Genomic DNA, 23,805 nt, shown 5'->3' with positions numbered 1-23,805 from the left:
TTTTTTTTACTATTGTTGCTTTAAAGTCTACTTTATCTGATATAACTACACCTGCTTGCTTTTGGTTTCCATTTGCATTGAATATCTTTCTCCACCCCCTTACCTTGAGTCTATGAGAATCTTTGTATGTTAGGTTCTGATGCAGCTCAACATTTTGTTTCAAGATTTAGCATTTCTTGTAGGACTGGTCTGATAGGGACAGATTCCCTCAGCATTTGCTTGTCTGAGGAAGACATTATTTCTCTTTCATTTATGAGACTCAGTTTTGCTGGATACAAAATTTTTGACTAATAGTTATTTTGTCTAAGGATATTAAAGATAAGCCTAAAGATACAGTGAACTTCTGGCCTGTAAGATTTCTGCTGAGAAGTCTGCTGTTAGTCTAATAGGTTTTCCTTTATAGGTTACTTGTTGCTTTTGTCTCACTGTTCTTAGAATTCATTTCTTCATGTTGACTTTAGATAGCTTGATTACTATATGGCTTTGTAATGTCAGTTTTGCAGTGAACCTCCCCAGAGCTCATTGAGTTTCTTGTATTTGGACATCTAAATATCTAGCAAGGCTAGCAAAGTTTTCTTCAATTATGCCCTCAAATAAGTATTCAAAAAGTTTTGCTGTTTCTTCTCCCTTAGGAACAGCAATTGCTATATTTGGCCATTTTACATAGTCACCTATTTCTAAGAGACTTTGCTTATTTCTTTGAATTCTTTTTCTGGCATTTCAAAGATTTCATCTTGGTTGGGATCCATTGCTGGGGACTTAGTGTGTTCTTTTTGAGGTGTTATAGAACCCTATTTTGTCCTATTGCCGGAATTATTTTTCTGGTTTCTTCTCATTTGGATAGAGTATATCTTCTAATTACTTTTGAGACTATATCTTCTAATTATTTTTGAATTTATTTTTTGATTTGACTGTGATTTTTCACTTTTTTTTTTCACTTTGAGGATGTGACTTTAATGTTTATAGTTTATTGTAACCTAATTCAGCTCTGGGTGCTTTCAGGGGTGAAGACTGTATAAGTTCCCTGGTTATTTAAAATGTTTGTATGTTGGCTTTCTCAGATGCTAGTTGTGGTAACATTATGCTCAGTGTGTGTGTGGAGGTTCACTGTTTCCTGTGGGGTAGCAATGGCAGAGGTCTCATGAAGCTTATCTAGTTCCCAAGTGGTGTGCACTTTTTTGCCTTTTTTTTTCTCCCAGTGTTTTCTTTACCTGGTTGAATAATTCAGATTTCAGGCCAGTAGGGGAGGTGTCCCTGAGTGAAAACCAGCAGATTGGTAAATGCAATACCCAATGGTGGGAAGAAGCCCAAGCCTTGACCAAGGCATCTGTGGGAGCTCTTAGTGAAATGCACTGAGGTCTTTTCACGGGGAAGGGAGGGAGCCACTTCAGCTCCCTTGCCAGGCCCCCAGGAAAGCAGGTCACACTCCTAAATACAGTTCTAGCTATTCAGATTAGCAGGCCCTTTTTATTTGCAGGAATTCTCATGTTCCAAGTAGAGAGAGATTGTGATTCTATGCCTTATGCAAATCTGAATCTGGAGGGGACTCCTCCTCTGGGGACGCAGTTAACTTGAAGTGTTCCAGAAAGGCTATCTACAGGTCCACTCATGCTAAATTCCCATAAGAGAAGCACCAGCTGTGTCTGCAGTGGTGAATGAGGGGGGAAATCTTTTTCTTCAAGACCGTTCTGTAGATTTTCCCAAGTCCAGCACTGTACCTGTGCCTCTACTGAAAGAAACTTTCCACAGGTGGGAAGTTCTGGACTCAAGTCCTGCCATCTAGATTCTTTTTTCCATGGGGTGTGCCACTGATGTGCACTCCCCCTTATCCTAAGAGTAGGAGTCCCTGAGGGCCAGACTAGTATGAATGCTGCTACTTCTCTGGCTCTAGCCACCTAGTGGGACTGCCACACTCCAGGTTGGTGCTGGGGAATGTCTACAAGGGGTCCAGTGATGTGACCTGTTCTCAAGACTCTGTAGTGAGTAGCAACAACAGCTCTCATGGGGGTGACAGGAGAATGACATAGACTCTGTGAGATTTCTTGATTATAAGTAGTCTTGGTGCATTGGTTTTTCTGTAATGCCACCTGTAGTAGTGATGAACTGGTCGCATGGACAGACTCAGGACCTCCTAGTAAGCCAAGGTTATATAGGCAAAGGTGACAGCTTAGGTCACACACAAGTTTTCTCTTTCCTGTGCACTGTTAGTGTGCCTGCAGATGCTGTAATGGATTGTGTCAGTAGGCCTCCAGCCACAAGGTGGCACTTGAAAAAGAGCACCAGCTGGTAGCAGTGGGATTTGTGCTTGCCTTATGTTACGCAGGGGAGGTAAGCTGATGACTCAGGCAATGGGCAGGGCCATTGAGCTCTCAAAATTTTCTATTCTTTGTGTTAAGCTACCAGGGCAGATGGAGGGGCAAAGCCAGCTGGGGGCTGAATCAGGCAAGTTCACATTCTAGCTCTCTTTTGTCTGCCATGTGTGGGCAAAAGCACTGTCCCCAGTGGGGATCAGATAGTGGTCCTCTGGCTGTAGGAGTAATGTTGCAGGGAGTACCACAGCTGCCTCTGCTGCAGAGAAGCATCTGTATGAGGAATAGGGAGCAGCAGGCAGCAGTTAGCCCCACTCAGCTCCCACACACTTGGCAAAGCAGGTCTTGCACCTGCAGTGTCCCACTCGCAGCAGCTTGGTTCCAAGCAGTCAACACTCAGAACTCAACACTGCCCAAGGCCATAAGACTTCCCAGAAGAGACTGCAACCATGGCTTCCAGGTCACGCCTCTCCTAGTTGGCCCATGAAGCAGGGGCACCCAGCTCTTGCACCTATGGCTGCAGCACATTTCCCATCTGCCCCATGGTTCTGACCAAGGGGGTTTGTCTCCACTCGAGATTATATCACGAATCTCAGTTGAGAGCTTCTCTCAACCTGTGACCACTGCCTGAGTTACCTGGCTGACTTCTGTGAGGTCCCCTGTGAGATAGGATCAGGGATGGCTTTCCTCTGTCCTGCTGGGCATGCACACTAAGCCCGTCCCCATGCTGCTACTTCTCATATATGCCCCACTGCTCACTAAATCAGCTCCAGCGCTGGGTGGGATTAAGGCCTTTCCCTGTGGCCTGGATTGCTTGGTTCCCCAGTAGGAGTATATGTCCTAGAGGCAGTTTATCCCTATCTGACATTCTAGGGACTTAAAGTTTTCCTCCTGGCTCATGATTTTAGACAGCAACCTGACACTTCTTTCAAAAAGTCTGTGCTTTCTTTCAGTTTTCCTGTTAATTTTCTGTGTTGCTTCTTGGAAAAAATTTACAGTGTGAATCTCCACACACAATTCTGTCTTTCCAAATAGGAGAGGCATGCTAACAATGACTCTAATCTGCCATTTTGAGAAAAAAAAATACTGGAGGTCTTTATTTTTTTTTAATACTATAGCCCATTCTGAGTTTTCATTACAACCTCCACTCTAGTATTGTATCTACTTTTCACAAACCCTTATCTTTGGTAGCTGGATTTAATTCATTAATTTTAAAATTTTGATAAAAATTATGACATAATTATATTATTATGTATTTTCATTTGATTATCTAGGTTTATGAAACTGACTAAACTAATAATTATTTGATAATATGATTATATTCTGCCAATTCATTCTACGTGTTCCTTGGATATGTTAATAAACAATAGAAACAAGTCCAACTAAAAGACATCACTTATTCTGACTCTTGTTTTGAAAAATAAAACCTGACAAATCAAATAAAAGTAAATGAGTTATTATTCAGACATCCACTTATGGTTTGGGTATATATTTTGACAGTCCATGAGAAAAATTCCTCCAAGGGTCTTCACCTCCAGACATAAAATCACTTTGTTGCTTTTCTAAAAGCTATTTTTAAAAACACCAACATCTTTTTAAATTCTCCCATCTATAAGTTGGCAAAAATATCTGTTGAGGTTTGTAAGCAACATTAACATTTTAAATAATAAATGTAATATTTAGGGACAATTTAATTTAGTGACTCAAGGCATCTAATATTTGGTATCAGTATACGAATATTAAGAAACATTTAGCCCTTTTATTTATAGTATTTTTTATAGTAAAACAATTTCTACTTTCTATTATGCTTCTTGTTCTGTGATAGTTTACTATTTCTGAAACTTTATTTTTTACAAAATTTCAAGTTGAGTCTAAAAAAATTATATTTTGTTGTTTTGAAAAATACGTAGCCTAAAACTGTACATGCTAACAGTTGAGTTTTATCAGTGTTATTTTTACTAAACCTAATCACTATAAAATAGCTATATCTTGTGTATGTTAAAAATGTGAAATAAGATGAGAATGTATTTGCTATTCTATTAATTAAATTATATGAATTAGTAGCAACTATTAAGATGCTTTGAATATTCCCTTAGGTGGATGAGAACATGTGAGCAAGTACTAGCACAGTGGTAGATGCTTTGTAAATTGCTCTTACTTTCCTAATGATTGACAGGCTAATAGCTAAATAACTAAGATAATATAAGCACTTTCTTAGAATTTAGAGATCCACTTAAAAGACAGGTTTTCATTAGGAATTTCTGTACTTTATTTCACATTTCCATAAAAAAAATCCTCATTGCAAGAACCACTGCACCTATTATATGAAAAAACTCAAGAGAAAACAATCAGGTGACCATTACCTCTAAAACACCTGATTTGATTCAGTTATCCTATAGGAATCAAGTATCAGGCTTTACAAGATCCTCTTTTTTCAATGTTGTTTTACTGCCTAAAACAATGTTTAAGATGACTAATTCACGTTTCTTTTTGTGACTTATTTTTACTTGATCTAATTTCTAAAGTGATCTTTATGAGGTGTCTTGCCTAAAAATTTGCCTATACTTATAAATGCATTTTCACTTACTACAATCTCATTTTTTACTGTACTGTAGATGTACAGTTAGTTGAATGCATACATAATACTTTTGAGAATATATGAGGTTTTACATAAGAAGAATCATATTGAAGTGGTTATCTAGCATATCTAAAGAGGAAACAACAGAGAAGCAAGCTGGAAACAATATGTAGACATCAGTAATTATTTTAATTTCACAAGACAAACATTTATCAATCCTGTATTCAAAACCTACATATATGCTACTTAGGATGCAGAAATAGCTATGTACATTCATTGCCACCAAGGCATTTATGATCCAATTGAAGGGCAAATACAAACACAATGAAGTTTCTTTGTGTAGCAATTACACAAATAAAACTTCATAAGCTTGCCAAGAAAAGCAAGAACGAAGAAAGGAAAGAAAGAAGGAAGAAAAACAAATGGCAAAACAGAGCAATATTTAAATGTGGTTATGATTCAGCCAACCATTACATTTAATGATAATGTGCCTGTTTGGGAAATAAAATAGAAGAATTAACTGAATGCCAAGGGGAGGGGGAAGGAACAAATGAAAAAATCAAAACAAAATAAAACTGTGAAAGATAATTAATGGGAATAGAAAAAATTATGTACAAAAAGCATTTTATTTGGAGAGTAATTTAGATCTTTAGGAATATATTGGCTATATTCAAGTTCCTATACTTAAGTGCTATACAATAATAATTAAAGGTACCAGATTTAGTAAAGGGATTTTGCACCATGAATTTTTTTTTCCTGTAAAGATACAAATATATCTCCTTAGTAGAACAGATAACCTCACAGATTTATGACACTGTTATATATCAATCTATATTTATTTATTTAACCAAACAATCTTAATGTTATTTTGCTAAATTGCTTCTAAATGTCCCAGTTTCTCAGATTCCCTTTGTGTCATTTAAAACATCTATTTGTTATTTATTAATTCAAGTTAATATCTTTAAAACCTATTCATTTTATATTTGTCTGAAAGCTATGATTTTAAGCTTCTAAAAATTATATTTTAATAGAAATCAGGGACTAGTTACCTTTAATCTGGGGGAGATACTACATATTTTAAAGCCTGAAGTCAATGTCTAGACAAAAGTTTCTGCTTAACATCAAAGGGTATGCAACATTTGCTGTGGCTCTCAAATATTAAGAAAGGAAAACACAACTGGGAATTTGTCACTAGCACTTTATTCTTTACTCAGGATTGAAGTAGAATTTTTTGACGCCAATATTTTTCAGAAACTTTAAACATTAGAAATAAAATAAAAACTAGCCCAATTCCAATATTCCCCATGGATTTCCTAGCAGAAGAAATGTGAAACTCTTATGGAGAAATAATCCAATATTGCAAACACAAGGATTTGCCACTACAGAAACTAACAAGTTAAATTGAAAACTATATTAAAAATAAATTCACAAACAAAAATTACAAAATACACAATGAAAAATGATATACATGCCAGGCGCGGTGGCTCACGCCCGTAATCCCAACAATTTCAGAGGCTGAGGCGGGTGGATCACCTGAGGTCAGGAGTTCAGGACCAGCCAGGCCAACATGGCAAAACCCCGTCTCTACTAAAAATACAAAAAATTAGCCAGGCATGGTGGCAGGCGCCTATAATCCCAGATATTTGGGAGGCTGAAATAGGAGAATTGCTTGAACCTGGGAGGCGGAAGTTGCAGCAAGCTGATATTGCACCATTGCAACCCAGCTTGGGCAACAAAGTGAGACTCTGTCTCAAAAAAAAAAAACAAAAAACCAGCAATAAGAGTCAGCAGATGTAAAACAGCAGAATTAAAAGTATGTGTAAAAATAGATGAATAATTTGAAAAAAATTATAAAATTAATAATATGTAATGAACATACATAAACACTAAAGACATTTAAAAAGAAATGAAGAGCAGATTTGGCAAAGGATATCCAAAAATAAAAATATAGTAATTGAATTTAAAAACCTATGAGATATGGATGATTAAAATTAATATAATAAATATATATCACAGAGAAATAAAGTTATCAATATAGAGCAAGATGGACAAAAATTATTATTATATTAGATACTTTGGGTGCATTTAAGATGGTATTGAGGCAATATCTAGAGGTAATAACTGGAAATTTTCTATAAGTCATTAAAGAAAAAAAATTTTCACATTCAGGAATTGGACAAGTTCTGAACAGAATTGATAAAAATAAATCCAAACTAGAAAGAACACTGATTTGGTGAATATTTTAAAAAGAAGCTAGTTCACTGAAAAACTAATACAATAATGCAATGGCATACCAAGTTCCAAATGCAAAATATACAGTGCAAGATAGAATACTATACACAGTGCTGAGACTTTTTGGGTCTACAAAATTTTAAGAAAGCGCACTCATGGATTCATTGAACAACCCTTTTTAAAGTAACAAAGAAAGAAAAAAGAAAACACTAAAAAAGACAAGTGTGAGAAGCAAGTGGCAACTGTAAACCTGTTAAATGTAAGGGTAAATCTAAATAAGCATTAATTATTTGAAAATGTGAGGCCAGGAGTCCAGTCCAACCTGGGTAACAAAGTGAGGCATGAGTTACAATTAAAATACTAGAAAAGTATTGACCATTTCAATTAAATGTTCCTTTCAAATCACTAATTATTTTCATGTTCCAAAATTTAAAGGTTAATTTTTTATTCTCATTTTATTGATCTATCAGTAGTCTCTTTTTCTTTAATTAAAAAACAAACAAACAAAAACACATAAACAAACAAACAAAAAAACCCAGCTTTTTTTCTTTGGCTTCCAGAACACGTCCTCTTGGCTTTCTTCTTATGTCTTTGTATGCTATTTCTTAGTCTTTGGAACACTTCTGTGTCCACCCCCACTCCCTTGATGAGTTCTCACAGAGCCATGGTTTACAATATTGTTTATGCTAAGAACTTGCAAATTTGTACCTCTACCTCTTACTTCTCTTCTAAATGCCAGGCTCTTACATCCAACTTCTTATGCTGTCTTCTTTTGAGAAGCTAATAAACATCTCAACTTTGAAATGCACATTCTCACCTACGACCATTTGTCTCAAAGCAAAAATCTTAGAGTCAATCCTACTTATTTTCTTTGTCAAGAATTGCACATCCCACCTTTCAGCGAGTCTTTCTGCTTGCTCTACATTCAGAATCTATCCAAAGTTAGTCACTCTCTTAGTCTCTCCCAGAAACAGATCCCAGTAAAAACATTCAATCAGAAGTAATTTGGGATGTAGAGAAAAACTATATTCTTTTTCTTCCCTCAGCCTTTTGATGTGTTTATTTCAATGCTATTTTTACAATGTTACTTACTGAATACATTAATTAAAATTGTAATCTGCCACTATTACTGTGTATCCTGCCTTACTTTATTTTCTTCACAAAATATATAACTTTTCAACACCTGTCTATATTTTATTTCTTTTGTGTCATCCTACATCTCACTGTAATCTTTACAAAGGCAAGGATTTTTTTCTTTAATATCCTAAATGTAGATGTTTGTCTCTAGTAGATTCAATGGTGCCTCCCAAAATATGATAAATATGCACATATCTTTCCATATGCTAGCCCACAGAAACTGTAGATGTGACCTAATTTTTTTGTATATATTAATAAGGATCTTGAGATGACGTCATACTGGATGATCCTAGTGCACCCTAAATCCAATAAGTGTTCTTATGAAAGACAGAAGAGGAGAAGATACAGGAAATAGAAGAAGGCTACTTGAGGATGGAAGCAGAGATTGGAGTTATGCAGCTACAAACCAAAGAATGCCTTGAGCCACCAGCAGCTGAAAGAGGTAAAGTAGGATCCACCCATAAACACTTGAGAAGGAAAGTGGGCCTATCTATACCTTTATTTCAGATTTCTGCCCTACAGAACTGTAAGAGAATATATTTCTTTTGCTTTAAACATTTAGGTTTGTGGTAATTTGTCATAACAGATCCAGCAAACTCATATACTGGCACTGAGCAGATATTCAATAAGAATTGATTATGAATTATAGTCATTATGATAGTGCGGCATTGACTCAGAGATGAACAATTTGTTCACTGGACTATAGCAGGAAATTCAAAAATTCATGGTAGACTTTCGATATTTTACATATGAATTGTCGTATCACCCAGAAAAATGAATAACTATTCATAAAATAGCAGTGATACATTTGATTAACATATAGAAAAATTGTAAATTGTATTCTATCATCACATTAACTTCAAATGTGAAAGACATCTTGTATCACTTTTAAAGAAAATATAAAATATATTTTATTTAGTAAAATTGAATTTGTAGAACGATGACTTTTTTTTTACTTTACTGCTTAATACTTGAGAAATTCTCCTCTTTGATGAGGCTATTAGAAAACAGGAACTCTAACAATTATATAGTGGGAAGATAAATTCATACAACGACTTTGGAAAGCTACTTGACAATGTAAGGATGAAAGTGCCCAAAGTTGTAAAATTTCCCTGCTCTATGTGTATCCTATGAAAATTCTAATATATATAAACAACAAAACAATAAGTATTTATTGTAGCTTTGTTTTTAACATTTACAATGGTAAATATAAAAATGCCAATATTTCCTGATATGAAAATTGATAGCTTTATATTATATATATAATGAAATCCCATATAGAAATTAAACAAAAACAGATACCCAAGTATCAGCTGGAATGGTTCTCAAAAATATCATAGTGAGATTATAAAGCATGTGTTGAAATAATACAGAGAAAACAATAACATCTTATTTAAATTTGAAGATACAAACACTACTGTATGCGGTATAAAATATTCTATACACAGACCTGTACTTAAAAATAGAGAAATATACAAGGGGATGCTAAACAATTTTAGCCTGTAGTTATCCCTTGTAGAATTTCTTATAATCTTGTTTCTGGTTATGTTGCTGTATCAATTATTTTTCAGTTTTGGGTATGTGTGAAATATTTCATAAAAGGAAGTTGGACGTTTTAATAATACATTGACTTTAAGAGGAGGAAGAATAGGTGATTGGGGTATTTTGTTATATACCAACACATGACTGAAATAATCATCTATTCTAATTCTGTTCAGTTCAGTGGAAAGTCTTTGAAGCTTTTTTAACAGAGTTGCACTTTGTCATATCTTTGAGAACATTGTGTTAGATTAAGTGGAACAGGAATGCTTAGAGGGAAGGAGATTAAAATAATGTGTTGTATGGATATTTGAGGTGACATACAATAGAACTGGAAAATAAAGAAACTTCATGAAAAATAGTATAAAAAGAGACATAAATGACTTACCAATTGACTGCTGTGTTTGATAGATGGGAATTGTAGTCGTAACATTGGATGAAATAGGAAAGACAGACTAGTAGAGCTCTTTGGAGGCAAATTCTATAAGTTCTTTTTACATTTTGAGTGAAAGTTTTCACTTTTAAATGAAATGCATATGGATAAAAAATAAAGGTAAATATAGTTATTATGAAATTGTCAAGATAAAATGAGAGTTGATGCATAAAAATGAATAGACTGGAAAAAGGGAACTTTTTAAATATAAAAAAAATTGCCTCTTTTCTGACAGTATTCTTTCTTCTTAAACTTCATGATTGTTCCTGGAAATTAAAGTGAAAAAAAACTATCATAAAACTATGACTCTATCATACTGTAACACTTCAGGGCCCATATTATTATACCTCCTCTGTCCATCTCGCATGACTGTTTAAAATGGTTCTGTTTGATACACTGACACTCAATTTCTTTTTATATGGAATGTAATTTGGGAGATTCTCTAAACAATCTGTATAATGGCAGACATGGAGTACAACTGAAATTAGAAATATTCTGTTGTAGTTTCCATTCTTTCTTAAAGGTTTTAACATTTTGTTATGAACATGACAAGCCTTATTTTTTTTTCCACACATAGAAGGAACACGAATTATAAATAGAACAAAACACTGTGAAATACTGCAAATGTGGAATAATTATTTGATCTCATGCACACACCTCGGTAATTTAAATTAAATTCTATAAGTAAATGACTAAATATTTTAAAATTAACTACTTTAAATTAAGATGTATTTAGAAATAATTTTAATGTTATTGAAATTTTTTTAAAAAAACTATTGTAATATAAGAAATCATGACATAATGCAAATACTACATATTTTCAGAAAATTTGGTAATAAATATCATCTCCCAAAAAACCATCTTAGTCATTGCATAAAATTCTACAAATGATATCTGATTTTAATTTAGAGGAAAGTACATGAACTGAAAGTCCCGACTGAATAAATGCTTAAAAAAGGATGATTTAAAAAAATTTAAAGGTAACATTTATTAATTAAAATAATTCTGATAGAAAATCCTAACAATGTACATTATTGTCTAGATTTATAATTCCGTAAATTAAATATACATCCCCCTGCAAGTGGCAATACTTCAAAAATTAATTCTAGTTTACAATTTAGTATAAAATAATGTATTAGAAGTGTCCCTGAAAGATGGAGTTTAATGGAGAAAAATGAGGAATATTATGAGTATCAGGACATGGAGAAGAGTAAAAAGTCAATATTGTGGGACAAATTAAATGACATTAAAAAATCACCTTTTTTCATTTGATATAATGTAATGGTTATAAAATATCTCCTCAGAGTTCTTCAACTGTCATTTCATTGAGATGTGGGGACTGGGGTCTCTGACCTTGAATCTGGGAGGACTTTTAACTTCTTTGACTAAGAGAATACAAAAAAAATCAATGCTGTGTAACTTTTGAGACCTGGCCTAAATCGACAATCTGACTTCTGCTCACTTTTTTTCAGACTCCTCCATCTCAGGAGGGCCCCAGTATTGCCAGGCTGGGAGAAACCCAAACCATGAGGATAGACCACGAATAGGAGTTCTGGTTGACAATCCCAGTTCATTCCTAGCTTCAAATACACAAGGCCAAGTGCCAGATATGGGCATAAAAAGCAATTTTGGAAGTGGACACTCCAGTCCAAGCTGTCCTAGCCCTCAGCTATTTGAGTTGCATCCAGACATGTAAATCTTCCCAGCTGAGGCCTCATCATTGAGGTGCAGAAAAGGGGCATGCCCACTGTGCCTGTTTCTAAATTCCTGACCCACAGAACCTGTGAGCATAATACAAGTTTACTATTTTATACCAGTAAGTTTGGGGTATAGTATTATGCAACAATACAACCTGATGCACAAAAAATCTCTTCTTTGTTACATAAACTCTATATAAACTGGCATATGCTTAGTTCTTAAACCTCTCTCCAATCTCCTTCTCTTTCCCCATACTCAAACTAATCTTTTTTTTTCTGCTCCTTCAACAAACCAGCACTTGTATTTACACATTAGATAAATTGCACCATTAACTTAAAAAACACAATTTCCAAGATTTTTACAAAACTGTGTCTTATAGTTTAAAGTATCTCAGCCTTTAAGTATCACTTGTTAGATAACATTTAGTTGCCAATCTTTATAATTGCTTTCTCTTACTCTACTCCTTAGCTTACAGTCCTTTCTGCCATATTTATCGTATTTGTATAACAGATCAAAATCTGTGGTTATCTATTTATTTACCTAATTTTCAGCTCTCTCCACTTATTATCATATAAGTTACAAACATTTCAGGTCATATCTTCAGTTTACCACACTATACCAGTAGCTTAAATATCACATTACCCATACTAGCCACTCAAAAATATTTATTATGGAATTAATGGAACTCTAAATTTAATCTGGTCTCCAAACTAAATATATGGCTTAAGTATCAATATAGGTTTCAGGTAGATAGGGTTTAGCTATAAGGAATACAGGGTGCAACTAAAAGCAGTTTTCACAGGCAAGATGTTTACTTACTTCTACAAAAGAAAGTACAAGCCAGGACAGGATAAGAAGAGCAGCCTCACAGGGACGCTGAAGATTTGTTATACACATGCAGGGACATTAATAGCATTTCCTTAGAAAGAGGTATGATATAAGATAGCTTGATGCCTGTAGCACCCTGAGACATGATTGCTCATATTGCAGCCAAGAAAAATAGGAAAGGCTGAAGCAGCAAAGGGCAAAGGGGCAAAAGGCCAAAGCCATGCAGGCCAAGTTTGTGCTTTTTTAAAGGCTTTCTTAGGAACCTATCTTATGATATCCATTTCAATGTCACAAAATTCACATGGCCACACCAAGAAACATGGATATTTTACTTTCCAAATAAAAAACTAGGCAAGAGAAGTTTACATTTGCATAGCCTATCAATAGTGTCTGCCAAGATATTTCCATTTTTTAGTGTATCAGAAAATTGGGCACACATGACTAACGTACTTTTTTCATTTTAAATAGAAACAAATGTGTGTGCATATATATATATAAAATATACATATTTATATGTGTGTAAATATATGTGCATGTGTGTGTGTGTGTGTATGTAAAACCAATCAACTTCTGCTGAAAAACTTCTGTAAAACTCATTTTTTTTTTTCCAGTATGTTTCCTCTGAAGACAATCTTCACATCTAGGGAATATTAATGGTAATAATAACAGCATTGATTTATTGAGAGTTTTCCTATGTAACAATTACTATACAAGTATGCCATTTAATCTATTTCTCTAGTTTCAATATTAATATTGGTACTTAATAAACGAGTAAACTGAAAATAATAAGTTTAAAATCTTTTTTCACAGCTAGTCAGCAATACAACTGGGATTTGATATCAGATTCATACGATTCCGAAGACCCTGACCACCAAATGCAAAAGGTACATGGCAACAGCTGATTGCAATGAGAGAAAAACAACTAATAAGGCAACAAGCAGGATACTAAGATATTTTCCAAAATGAATAGCACTGATTCTGTGAGGAATGAACATTGCCAAACAAGTGTTTTGTTTTGTTTTTCAACTCCTCTAAAAAAATTCACATATATGCATGCCACTTTCCTGAAAAATATCTGCCTCATAATTGCCATAAGAAACGGTATGGACAACTCTTAAACATTCTGAAAGTAGTCAGGGATGGGGGAAAGCATTTGCTGTTTTAGTCTGTTCCTGGTCTTATAACAAATACCACAAACTGGGTAATTTATGATTACAGAAATGTATTTCTGAAAGTTCAGGAGTTGGGAAGTTCAAGATTATGGCACCAACATATTCATTGTCTGATGAGGGCCTGTTTCACAGATGTCATTTTGCATGACTTAATCACATGGTAGGAAAAGCAAAGGGACAAAATGGACAAATGCCATGTTGTCACATGGCAGAAGAAATGGAAGAGCCAGGAAGCTCTCAGAAGCTTCCTTAATTAGGATATTAATCTCATTCATGAGTGCATAGCCATCATGACTTAATTGCCTCCAAAGGCCCCACTTCCTCATCACTTTGAGGATTAAACTTAAACATGAATTTGGAGGAAATATATCCAAACTCTAGGACTAGTTTAAATGTAGCTAAAAAGGTTTCTTCATTCTGTAATCGTTAATATGCTAATATTTTTGTAAATATCCAAGAGGAAGCTAAAGCATATAATATTCCAAAATTTATTTCTGTTTGTGGATATTATGTTTTCCTCTCATTCTATCTTAAGAAATTAGTGTCCTCAAGAAACACTATATAGGATAATTGTCTTTCAAGTTCATCAACTACCAGTTCTTGATTCTTCAGTAGCTAATCCTAGATAGTAATACTTAACAGATTATAAAAACTTGGGTGCTGCTATATAAATGCGCTGAAACTCCCAGGGAACCAAACATAAGGACTTAAAGAGAGATGTAACTAGGGATCATAATCATGAATTTCAGCTGCTTCTCTATCTTTGTCAGTGAGCAAATGACCATACAAAATAAGGTATTCAATTATTAATTCTGTGCCCATATCCCGGAATTTTGCCCAATATATTTGTAAGTTTAGATAAATAAGGCACTAATGCCAGGGATATGTAGCATTAGTTCTGGGTTTATAAAGGGATATTCACAACCTCTTGCCATCCACAGAATTTATCAGCCCAAAGTAAACTATACTCGTTGGTTAAGGGCAACCTGAGACATGTTTAAAACTGAGGTGGACTGAAGAGTCAACTAATTGCAGGAATCTTTTATTTGGTTGAAATGTTCAAACAAGTCCCACTCTGAATTCTATTAGAAGTCCATCATTGGCTTCTCTCTCTTTCTCACTGTCTTAAATCATGTATTTTATAACACTATGAAGAATGAAGTTCAAAAGAATAAGCTAAATTTAATTAATTAAATTATTTATTTATTTATTTTGAGACAGAGTCTCACTCTGTCACCCAGGCCAGAGTTCAGTTGCACGATCTTGGCTCAGTGCATCCTTCACCTCCTGGGCTCAAGAGATCCTCCTGAAGCAGGGCATTTCCCTGACCCCTTCATGGGACTCGTGACAGGGGTGCCCCATTTACTCAGCCCACTGCTCTCAACTCCTCAAGGGAGGGAGTGCGCAATTGAACAAGGCAGGAACTGGAGTACACGAGTGCTGGAACCAGTGGCCTCTTTGGTGCCAGAAGGAGTGAACTCACCCACTCTGACCTGCTGTGTTCCACCTCTTGCAGGAGAGAGCATGCAGGTGAGCAGGTACAGGAGCCAGGAAGAGAGCTTTGGGGTGTTGGCAGGAGCAAACTCCATGTGGGCCCCATAGCAGCCCCTGGGGTTAGGGGGGTGCCTGTGATTCCTGAAGCCCCAGTGGGCATATTACAGTGCTCCTTTAGCTCTGCCGTCTTCAGACAGCTGAAGTGTTAGCAGCTCAGCATGCCTTTTTGTATCCACACTCACTCCTGAGCTCTTGTTTGGCATCCAGGAAAAAATCAGCTCACAGAAACGAATTGAAGGATGGTAAATGCAGAGGATTTTATTGCCAAGGAAAGTGGCTCTCAGCAGGAAGGGCAGCTGGGAAGGAGATGTAGCAGGAAGGTTTCTGGCTGGACTCTTCTCCAAAGTTGCACTGTCAAGCTGTCTCTCTGAAATCAAGCTGCTTCTCTCCAACGTCCAACCGTAGTCTCTGATGCCCAGCTGCTGCTTCTCTTTTGATGTTCAGCTGCTTCTCTTTTTTGCTAGCTGAGTCTGGGGTTTTTATGGGCACAGGATGGGGGACAGGGGAGGTCATGGGTAATTTTGTAAAAGGCAACATTTGAGTGGGAAAACAGGAATGTATGTTCTCACTTTGGGCTTTGGTTCCAGGCTTGAGGGTGGAGCCGTTGCCAGGGACCTGCCCTCTTTTGCCCAGAATTTCCCTGCCTCCCTTCCCTTTCACTCCCACCCCATCACTCCCACCTCAACATCCTGAGTAGCTGGGATTATAGGCGCACACCACCGCATCTGATTAATATTTAAATTTTTTGTAGAGACAGGGTTTTGTCATGTTGCCCAGGCCGGTCTCAAACCCTGGGCTCAAGTGATTTGCCCACCTCAGCCTCCCAAAGTTCTGGGATTACAGGTGTGAGCCAGTGTGCCTGGCCCTAAATAATATTTATATGGGCATTTTGTAATTATTATTTTTTAATAATATAAATGTTTCCTTTTTAATATGAATTTTTCAAGAGTTTTATAATTGACTGATTATTCATTAAAATTTAATGAAGGACAGGAATTGGCTATTTTTCTGAATGACAAAAATTAGGAAATTTTTAGAGAGATGATGAATTTATCCTAGAATATATGGAAAGAGTAAATCTTGTTATATAGAACAAGCAACTTTCCAATCCGAAGGATCTTAGAATAATAAAAATTTTTTTTCTTATAATTGTTTTCTTATAATTGTTTCAAAGTAATACTTTAGACCAAAAATTGTATATCTCAGTAGGTGGCCTATATGATAATTAAAAAATTAAAAGCTAAGTTAATTAAATTTTTAATTAATTTAATTTTTATTAATTTTAATTATCAATCTTCATTGAAGAATTTTGTCCAAAAAATGTGGACAATATGTGTCATAAGGATTAATCACCATAAAATAGTCCCCAAAGGAAATTAAAGGACTGATTAGATAGTACTAAAATAACAATCATACAAAGTAGAAAGTGGTGTTATAAGAGAAATGTAGATAAAATATTGTAAGAAACTAAAGTAGGAAGATAATGTTTTGAGTTGTGGGAGATCAGGGAAGGTTTTTTGGAAAAAGTAACGTTTAAGCTAGATCTTAGAGAGACATGACTTAATAGAAAAGTAGGCAAAAAAATATGAATAACCCTTTCAGATTACAGGCAATACAAATTATGATAAATATAAAAAAATTCTTACTTCACTAGTAATCAAGTAATTGAATTAAACAATTGGATACCATTTTTTCTTCAGCAGACTGGCAAAACATAAGATGTTAACAAGGGTTTTGAGGGTACAGGGAAGAGGGTAGGCTCAAACTATGCTGGTATCAATGTATAACCAAGATCTCCTTTGGAGTACAATTGTTATATAGTCTACATTCTGTAAAAACTAAACACATATGTTTGCCTTTCCACTTTTGGAAATACATGGTAGATAATCATGCAAGAATGTCAATTGCAGTATTGTGTTGTAATTTTTAAAAATACTCTAGATATTCATCAATATATAACTACAAATAAAAATAGTTGGACTATCATGCAGACTACAATGCCTCTATTGTGGCATAATAGTTAATAATACAATCTCTGAGAGCAGAATATCTGGATTTGAATAATTTGCTCTCCCTCTAAATGACCTTGAGCAAAGTACTTACAATCTTTTTCTCTCTTCCATAAAATGGAGATAACAGCATTGCCAATTTATTAGCTTGTCATGATGATTAAATGAGATAATCCATATATCACACCAAGTACCCACTACGTAATAAGCAACTAATTAAATTTGACTAATATTAATAATTTCATTATTATTCATCTTAATATCATGGCATGACTTCTAAGGTATATTATTAAATAGAAAAAGATAAGTTTTAAACTGAGCCATAGTTTAGAACTTGACTTAAAGCAGACTCACAAAGCAAATGCTCATATCTAGGACAGGTAAATCTACACGTGTTTATACACACATTCACTGTATTTGGGGAAAATACACACCAAACTGGAAACACTGGTTGTCTCTGAAGAAGAGACAGGGCTTTGGCAATATTCAAATTAGGCTTTAACTGTTTCTGAAAGTTTCAGTTCTCTATAAGGAGAAGGTATTACTTATGTAATTTTTAAAAATTACATATTAAGTACTAAATGACTGAAGCTTCTTAGAATTGATGGGTGCAGGCATCACATGGGCAGCAAGGCATTCACATAATGGAGAATCATGGTCTCCTGTAGATGTCTAGGAGTGATAAAATTAACTACCTTTTAGGTGGTGTAGTTTCCTGGTTGAGCTGATAATTATTAAGTTAATGATTAGTAGGTTATTTCTCAACACCGAAGAGATTATTAGTGTTTCAAAGTTTTCACTGTAATTCATCTGTAAAACCATTCAACCTACCTCCAGTACACCTCAGTAATCTGGTGACAAGAGAGTATTCTTGCTCACTTTATTTACTCTTCAGTGATCTAATGCCAATAATGCCAGCCTATAGAAACAACAGCCAATTATAACAAAAAGCACATTAGAAAGTCAAATATAGCTGGGTAATAGACATAAAAATACCTTATTAACATTTTTATAACACTCTGAACTGAAATAAACAGACCACTCTCGATTTTAGCATCTGGTTCCAAACAATTCTTGTTTGGGTGATAACTTTTTAAAAACAAATGTTGGGCATCTTTCATCGACTTTTCATCAAGTAACAGCTGTTCCTTTAGAGCAAAATGTATGCATGTTGGAAGTGTGACTGATGCTCACTTCTGTTTTGTTCTGTGTGAGAAAGCTTTATGTTGGGTGCAATTCAGAAAACAAATGGTTTCAAATCTTTTGAATAGATGCCATAGCACAGTTTAAATGCAGCTTCTTGTGATTTTTAGAATAATTTCAGCCACAATTTTTACATTCAATTTATAACTATACTAAGACATTCTCCTTCAGAACAAAGGCATTTCTGTTTTCATGTGCTCTTGGGCATCTTCGGGTCATTCATTATATCAATCATTTATCTTCGTAAAGCGTTTGGCTATGAACAATTACTTACTACACCAAAGCATGAAAGAAATAGATATAGCTCATCTGCTCTTGAATGCATTTCTACAGATTCCCTTAGGATAATTCCTGTTTCAACTTAAGCTATTAAATTTTTTGCTGCATTCAAATCACCTCATCTGCTGAAACATGTGGAGACAAATAACCACAGACGTTTGCATGAAGGTTCAGGTGTATTTAAGGGCAGCTTAATTATAAGACACTATGAAATTCTCCTAATTAATTTGGAGCTAAATATTCTACATCAAATATTTTACAAAACTTAAAGAAATATTTACTTTTCACATGATTACGATTTTGATACTAGGTTAAAAATGACTTATACTGGCATTTTTTAAACAGTTTAAGACAAATAATGTTTTTGATACTGTTTATTATAACATATGAAAAGTCTTTATGCAGATATACTCTATTTTATCGTCTGTTCATTTCATGTTGCATTTGCATGCACTCCTGAATTACTTGTTACTAAAACATACAGAACAGACAGAAAGTTAAAATTGGTTAATTTCTATCTAATCTGGATAAGATAAACACAATGAGTGAAATAAATAATTATGTCAAATAACAAAAACCTCATGCATAGAAACTTCAACATTTCTGAATAACAAAAAGTATAACATTATGTAGGGCAATGTTCCACTTTTGTATCAACTAGAAATAAGCCCTGAATCTGAATGATGAAATTTTAATAGTAACTGTTGACCACAGGGCAGAGTTTACTCTCTTGGTCAGATGCTTTTGTGAATGACACAAACTGTGTGTCCAGATCACTTTTCCCTATAATCACTTCAAATTACTTGACTTTTTGATCTCTTCCTTTTTTCTGTCTCTTTTTTGTCCACAACAGATATTCCAAATATCCACCGAGTTTTCAAATACTCCAGTCCATATTTGGTCTTCCCATTCCTAGCAGAAGTACTTTGTCTTCTACTTCCCAGAATAATGTTAATTATCTTATTTTAGACTTGCTTGCTTTAATTTGTATTTATTCTTGGCTTTTTTTCTTTCCATCTCACAGGATAAGAGGGCATCTCTTCTTCCATATTCATAAATACGTTGCCAACAGGAATTTGTTGTTATTTACACTTTCTTCTCCTAGACATTTTAATTTTACTTACCTTCCCTGAGCACATGGCAAAGTCAAAACACAAGCAGAATCTTACTTATGAATAGAGGCAGATTTATTAAGCCAGGGGTAGGCAAACTATAGCCAATGAGCCAAAGCCAGGCTGCCACGGGTTTTTATAAATAAAATTTTATAGGAACTCAGCCACAGACATTCCTTTACATATTGCCTACAGCTGCTTAAGCACTACAAAGGCAAAGTTGCATATTTACAACACAAATAATATGGCCTGCAAGCCTAAAGTATCTACTATCGTGCCCTTTATAGAAAATGTTTATCAGCTTTTGTTCTCTTATCCTAAGTTATGAGGCTTACATTTCCGGCCACCTCATTTGCATTTGAGTTTCCAGTTTTGAGTTTGTAGTTTTGCATTCTTGCTTAAAGAGCCCCAAACCCTGACCGCCAAATTGAATGTGCTGTAGATCCCACAAAATATGGATCCAATCAAGCTGATGCCATGTCATTATCTGTAGCTTTTATTCTTTGCCATCACACACCTTCCTTGAACAGTTAGGCTTCTGCAAAAAATCTTAAATAATCACTGATATGGGTTGGTTCTGTGTCTTCACCCAAATCTCATCTTGTAGCTCCCATAATTTCCACGTGTTATGGGAAGGATCCAGTGGGAGATGTCTGAATCATGAGGGCACGTATGTCCCATGCTGTTCCCATGATAGTGAATGGATCTCACGAGATCTGATGGTGTTAAAAATGGGAGTTTCTCCACACAATCTCTTTTTTGCCTGCTGCCATCCATGTAAGATGTAGCTTACTCCTTGCCTTCCACCACGATTATGATGCCTCTCCAGCCATGTGGAACTGTAAGTCCAACAAACCACTTTCTTTCGTAAATTGCCCAGTTGCAGGTATGTTTTTATCAGCAGCATGAAAATGAACTAATACAGTAAATTGTTACCAGTAGAGTGGGGTGCTGGTGGAAACATATCCAAAAATATGGAAACGACATTGGAACTGTGTAACAAGCAGAGGTTGGAACAGTTTGGAGGACTCAGAAGAAGACAGGAAAATGTGGCCAAGTTTGGAACTTCCTAGAGACTTGCTGAATGGCTTTGAACAAAATGCTGACAGTGATATGGACAATGAAATCCAGGCTGAAGTGGTCTCAGCTGGTGATAAGGAACTTGTTGGGAACCGGAGTAAAGGTGAATCTTGCTACATTTTAGCAAAGACACTGGTGGCATTTTGCCTGGCCCTATAGATTTGTAGAACTTTGAACTTGAGAGAGATGATTTAGGGTATCTGGCAGAAGAAATTTCTAAGCAGGAAAGCACTTAAAATGTGAATTCGGTGCTGTTGAGGGCGTTCAGTTTTATAAGGGAAGCAGAGCATAAAAATTTGGAAAATTTGCAGCCTGACAATGCAATAGAAAAGAAAATCCCATTTTCTGAGGAGAAATCCAAGCCAGCTATGGACATTTGCATAAGATAATGGGGAAAATGTCTCCAGGACATGTCAAAGGTCTTTACCTCAGCCTCTCCCATCACAGGCACAGAGACCTAGGAGGAAGAAGTGGTTTTGTGGGCTGGGCCCAGGGTTCCTTTGCTGTGTGCAGCCTAGGGACTTCATCCCCTGCATCACAGCAACTCTAGCTATGGCTGAAAGGGGACAACATAGAGCTCAGGCTATGGCTTCAGAGGGTGCAAGCCCCAAGCTTTGGCATCTCCCATGTGGTGTTGAGCCTACAAGTGCACAGAAGTCAAGAATTGAGGTTTGGGAACCTCTGCCTAGATTTCAGAAGATGTATGGAAACGCCTGAATGCCGAGGCAGGAGTTTGCCACATAGGTGGGGTCCTCATGGAGAACCTCTGCTAGGGCAGTGCAGAAGGAAAATGTGGGGAGGGAGCCCCCACACAGAATCCCTACTGGGGCACCACCTAGTGGAGCTGTGAGAAGAGGGCCACCGTCTTCCAGACCCCAGAAGTGTAGATCCACTGACAGCTTGCACTGTGTGCGTGGAAAAGCTGCAGACACTTAACACCAGCCCATGAAGGCAGCCAGGAGGGAGACTGTACCCTGCAGAGCCAGAGGGGTGGAACTGCCCAAGACCATGGGTATCCACCTCTTGCCTCAGCGTGACCTAGATGTGAGACATGGAGTCAAAGGAGCTTTAGATTTGACTGCCCTTCTGGATTTCAGAATTGCATGGGGCTTGTAGCCTCTTTGTTTTGGCCAATTTCTCCCATTTGCAATGGCTGCGTTTACCCAATCCCTGTACCCCTATAACCCCATTGTATCTAGGAAGTAACTAACTTGATTTTGATTTTGCAGGGTCATAGGTGGAAGGGACTTGCCTTGTCTCAGATGAAACTTTGGACTGTGGACTTTTGAGTTAATGCTAAAAAGAGTTGACATTTTGGGGGACTGTTGGGAAGGCATGACTGGTTTTGAAACATGCAGATATGAGATTTGGGAGGGGCTGGAGTGAAATGACATGGTTTGGCTCTGTGTCCCCATCCAAATCTCATCTTCTAGCTCCCATAATTTCTGTATGTAGTGGGAGGGACCTGATGGGAGAAGACTGAATCATGGGGGCAGGTCTTTCCCATGCTGTTCTCATAATAGTGAATGGGTCTCACAAGATCTAGTGGTGTTAAAAACAGGATTTTCTCTGCACAAGCTCTTTTTTTGCCTGCTGCCACCCACATAAGATGTGTCTTGCTCCTTTTTGCCATGATTGTGAGTCCTCCCCAGCCATGTGGAACTGTATGTCCAATAAACCTTTTTCTTTTGTAAGTTGTCCAGTCGTGGGTATGTCTTTATCAGCAGTGTTAAAATGGACTAATACAATCACTCTATCAAATGAGATAATATTTATTCCTTTACCACTGACAACTCTCTCTCGGCTCTTCTATTCAATCATGTTACTGATAGACGCTTTGCTTTTTGTTTTTGTTGTTTAACCTGATTGTTATAGCTTATTTTATGAATTTCTGTTCTTCTTTTAATTTTACAACAATTTTACTATTTCTCCTTACATGTTTATAAGTCATATGGAGACTCCTTCTCATCTACCCTGACCCCAGAATATTAAAACTTTTCAGAGTTTCAGGATTAATTCCATTATATGGACATGATTCCTTGAGATAGGAAAAACTGATTGGATTGTGACATTAGACTTATCAGAATCTAAGATCTTACAAAATATAAAGCTTTACTAGTAATTTCACGAACTCAGGTAATCATTAGGCATAGGCAAATCAGAGAATTATTTAGATCTCTTAATCTGATTCTTTAGATCCTTGGTTCTGTCATTAGATACTCCCTTGCCCAGGCAGATAGATGAGACTTCTAGAGAGGTATGCAGACAATTTATTTACATGGAGATACCTGTCTCAATTATCAAATATCTTAATTTTTATGCAGATAGTTACATATGTGGTATATGTGACATTTTCCAGGGAGCCCCATAAATCCACAACCTTCTACTTTGTTAACCATAAGCAATTCTAAACGACCAAGTACATTCTGCTAAAAGCATTTCTGTGATAGATAATCACTCTCCTGCCAGCAAAAAAACAAATTGTTTGTCAGGAGCTGTCATTAGTATGTTTATATAAGCAAAATGGGCTTCCTTCCTTCTGTGGATCCTGGCAGGGCATCTCAGTAATCAGAAAGAATCAAAGACCCTTTCCTTCCCAATCTGCTCTGGCCTTGGTCAACATCTTAGTGCCAAATATTGCT

At 35.9% G+C, this 23,805-nt stretch overlaps 2 long non-coding RNA genes across 11 annotated transcripts in view; one reads left to right on the top strand and one right to left on the bottom strand.

The window, feature by feature from the left end:
• LOC105379263 (uncharacterized) overlaps nt 1–23,805 on the top strand; it is a 104,681-nt gene that overhangs the window by 46,379 nt on the left and 34,497 nt on the right. For 5 of the 10 annotated variants that reach the window (XR_001746493.2, XR_001746494.2, XR_001746495.2 and 2 more), the window contains 2 exons: nt 8,516–8,698; nt 13,565–22,857. This is a non-coding gene — a long non-coding RNA (uncharacterized LOC105379263). Of the gene's footprint in view, nt 1–8,515; nt 8,699–13,564; nt 22,858–23,805 lie in introns of those variants that run through there. The other 5 variants (XR_007061527.1, XR_007061529.1, XR_007061530.1 and 2 more) reach the window with 3 other exon arrangements.
• On the bottom strand, nt 926–15,493 carry LOC124902168 (uncharacterized). The gene is made up of 2 exons (XR_007061540.1): nt 15,410–15,493; nt 926–10,494 (listed from the first exon to the last, which is right to left on the bottom strand). It is a non-coding gene; the product is annotated as an uncharacterized LOC124902168 (long non-coding RNA).

Source organism: Homo sapiens, chromosome 9, assembly GCF_000001405.40.
Source record: "Homo sapiens chromosome 9, GRCh38.p14 Primary Assembly".
NCBI lineage: Eukaryota > Metazoa > Chordata > Mammalia > Primates > Hominidae > Homo > Homo sapiens.
The sequence above is the reverse complement of the archived record's forward strand: the minus strand, read 5'-3'. Positions and strand labels throughout refer to the sequence as shown.